Source organism: Homo sapiens, chromosome 11 (genome assembly GCF_000001405.40).
Source record: "Homo sapiens chromosome 11, GRCh38.p14 Primary Assembly".
Classification (NCBI taxonomy): Eukaryota; Metazoa; Chordata; class Mammalia; order Primates; family Hominidae; genus Homo; species Homo sapiens.
In genome coordinates, this window is record NC_000011.10 from 125,149,331 (window position 1) to 125,152,017 (window position 2,687).

Genomic DNA, 2,687 nt, shown 5'->3' on the forward strand with positions numbered 1-2,687 from the left:
CAAAAATAGGTGAAAAGAGGGAATAACTCTCTCTTTGGGAAGGAGGGTTCAGGAAAGGCTTTCTAGGAGAGGAGATAGATTGGAGGTGTTTAAAGGTTGAGGAGATGTCCACCACATTAGGTGATTAGAGCTTTATTTATTGAAGCACTCTAATCAGAGAGACCAGCATGCACAGACATGAAATATCACAGCATATTTGAGAATTGCCTGTACCCTCCACAGCTGTAGGCCAGGGTCAGCATTCTTTATCTTTGTAGCCTACTGGTCTCCAACCACTGTGTCAGGTCCCCAAGGGGTATCTGCAGAAACGCGGATAAAGACGCATCGTTTATTTCGATCAGAGCTTTGACCACAAATCCTCATCTGATCCCACAGCCTGAAAAGCTGAGCTGGGATGTGTGCATGTCATGTGGACTCTCTTATAAAAGTTTAATTTTTATTTATCAAAGAATATATATAGATAGTTTGGAAATCAACAGTGGCCTCGCCTCACCTCTCCACGCTCCCAAGTCCTGCCCCAAGGCAGTTACCATCAACTCCTACATCTCATTTCTTTTTTGTGTATATCGCTGTGTTTCTAAATAATATGCTTATATTGTTACTACTTAATTGACCAATTTTAGGAATTATGTATTGATTTACTGCCATGTAGAGAGCTTAATTCTCTCATGGTGTTGTCTCCCAACTCCATCCTTGTTCTTCCCCTCCTCCTATCTCTTCAACATAAACTTACTCTTTAGTTCAATCACTATTTGATGTTTCTATGCTAATGACTATGCAAATATAATTTGCTACCAAGTCAAGTAGTACAATGTGACCTTGTGTCCTTTTTCATACAATCCATTGTTTTTCCTGGAATTTACTTTCTATGCATTCAGGCTCATCTGTTTTACTTTTTCCCCATATAGTAATCCCTCCAAGAATCTTGTGTTTTTCTGTTTCAACCTGGATTAGCTGCTTTATAGGAATGCTGTTTAACTGTCATCCAGAGGCTTCAATTTACCATAATTTTGAATTTTTCCTTTATTGTCTTCCTGTGGTAAATACCCTATTTCCTGAATTCCATGTATTCTATGTTGCCCTATAGTCTAACTTTATTAAACCCCATCCTCCAATAACTTCCTAAGATAGGGTGCCTAGGAGGTCATTTTCTTGAGTCATTAAATATCTGAAAATATCTCTAGACTACTGTGATATGTGACTGATAATTTATTTGGGTATCGAATTTTAGATTAAAGAACAGTTTCTTTCAGAATGTAAAAGGCATTTCTGTGATATCTTTTAACATCTGAGGTTGCTCTTTTTAAAAGTTTAATTTTTTTTTTTTTTTGAGACGGAGTCTCGCTCTGTTGCCCAGGCTGGAGTGCAGTGGCGCGATCTCGGCTCACTGCAAGCTTTGCCTCCGGGTTCACACCATTCTTTTGCCTCAGCCTCCCGAATAGCTGGGACTACAGGCGCCCGCCACCACGCCCGGCTAATTTTTTGTATTTTTTAGTAGAGACGGAGTTTCACCATGTTAGCCAGGATGGTCTCGATCTCCTGACCTCATAATCCGCCTGCCTCGGCCTCCCAAAGTGCTGGGATTACAGGCGTAAGCCACAGCGCCCGGCCAAAAGTTTGATGTTTTTATGCTCGTTTCTTTTACCTGTGTTTTAGGACTTTTAAAATGTTTTATGTTCTAAAATGTCATGATAATGAAGGTGGTGGGCATTGGTATATGTCTTTTCTATTCTTTGTGCTGGGCTCATTAGGAGACTAATGTCTTTTTTTCTCTCCTATTATCCATCTCTACCATTTTGCTTCACTCTTTGAAAGATTTCTTCAACTTTATCTTCTAAACTTTATATTCAATTTTTGAAAAACTTTTAGTTATATTTTTAATTTCAAAGAGGCTTTTAAAATTAAAAATTTATCTTTTCATTGTAATCTCTTATTGTTTTATGAGTACATTTTTTCCTCTTTTTGAGAGTGTTTTTGAAGCATTACTGCTCTTTTGAAATTTTCTTTTATTCCTTGCAAGAGCTCTATTGCTCCATTCCTCCTCCTTTTTTTTTTTTTTCTGTTTTAGTTTCCCTTTTCCATGTTTGCAAATTTCTTTAAATATCTGGTGATCCTCTGTTTGTTCATATTTGAGAAAGAGGCACTAAAAGTTGATTTGGGGAGCTTGGGATGTAACTGGGCAGTTTGTTGACCAGTGGGCTTCCTACAGGTTATTGGGTCACAAGCCAACCTTTTTATTGAGGTGCCTTCGATACCAGTAACTGCAGTTCCCTCTGGGGCTCTTCAACCCTTGCAATCTACTGGCTAAGGTTGGTGGTATTGGGGAGTTGCTAGCAAGGCCGGGAAAAGGACAGAAGGGCACACAGTTGAGCATGCAGACCGCTCCCTAATTCTTTTCACTTTCCACCATACTTGGTGTTCCCAAATCCAGTATTGTTCTTATTCAGTTTTTTCAAAGAAAAAAGTTCATTTTCTGGAGACAGAGGAGACTGGCTGAGTGTCTGTGTGGGGTGCGTGGAGCCCTTTTTTAAAAACCGGCTTCCCACCATCGTCTGCTGTCCAGCCAGGAGCCTGACCCCAGGCCACTGAGCTTGGTGCCTCAGAGGGCTCCACTACTCAGGGTTCTGCAGAGTCGCTCAGCCCCATCACAGGCTCTGGGCTTGTGACTTCTCTCTGTGGAGCCAGTT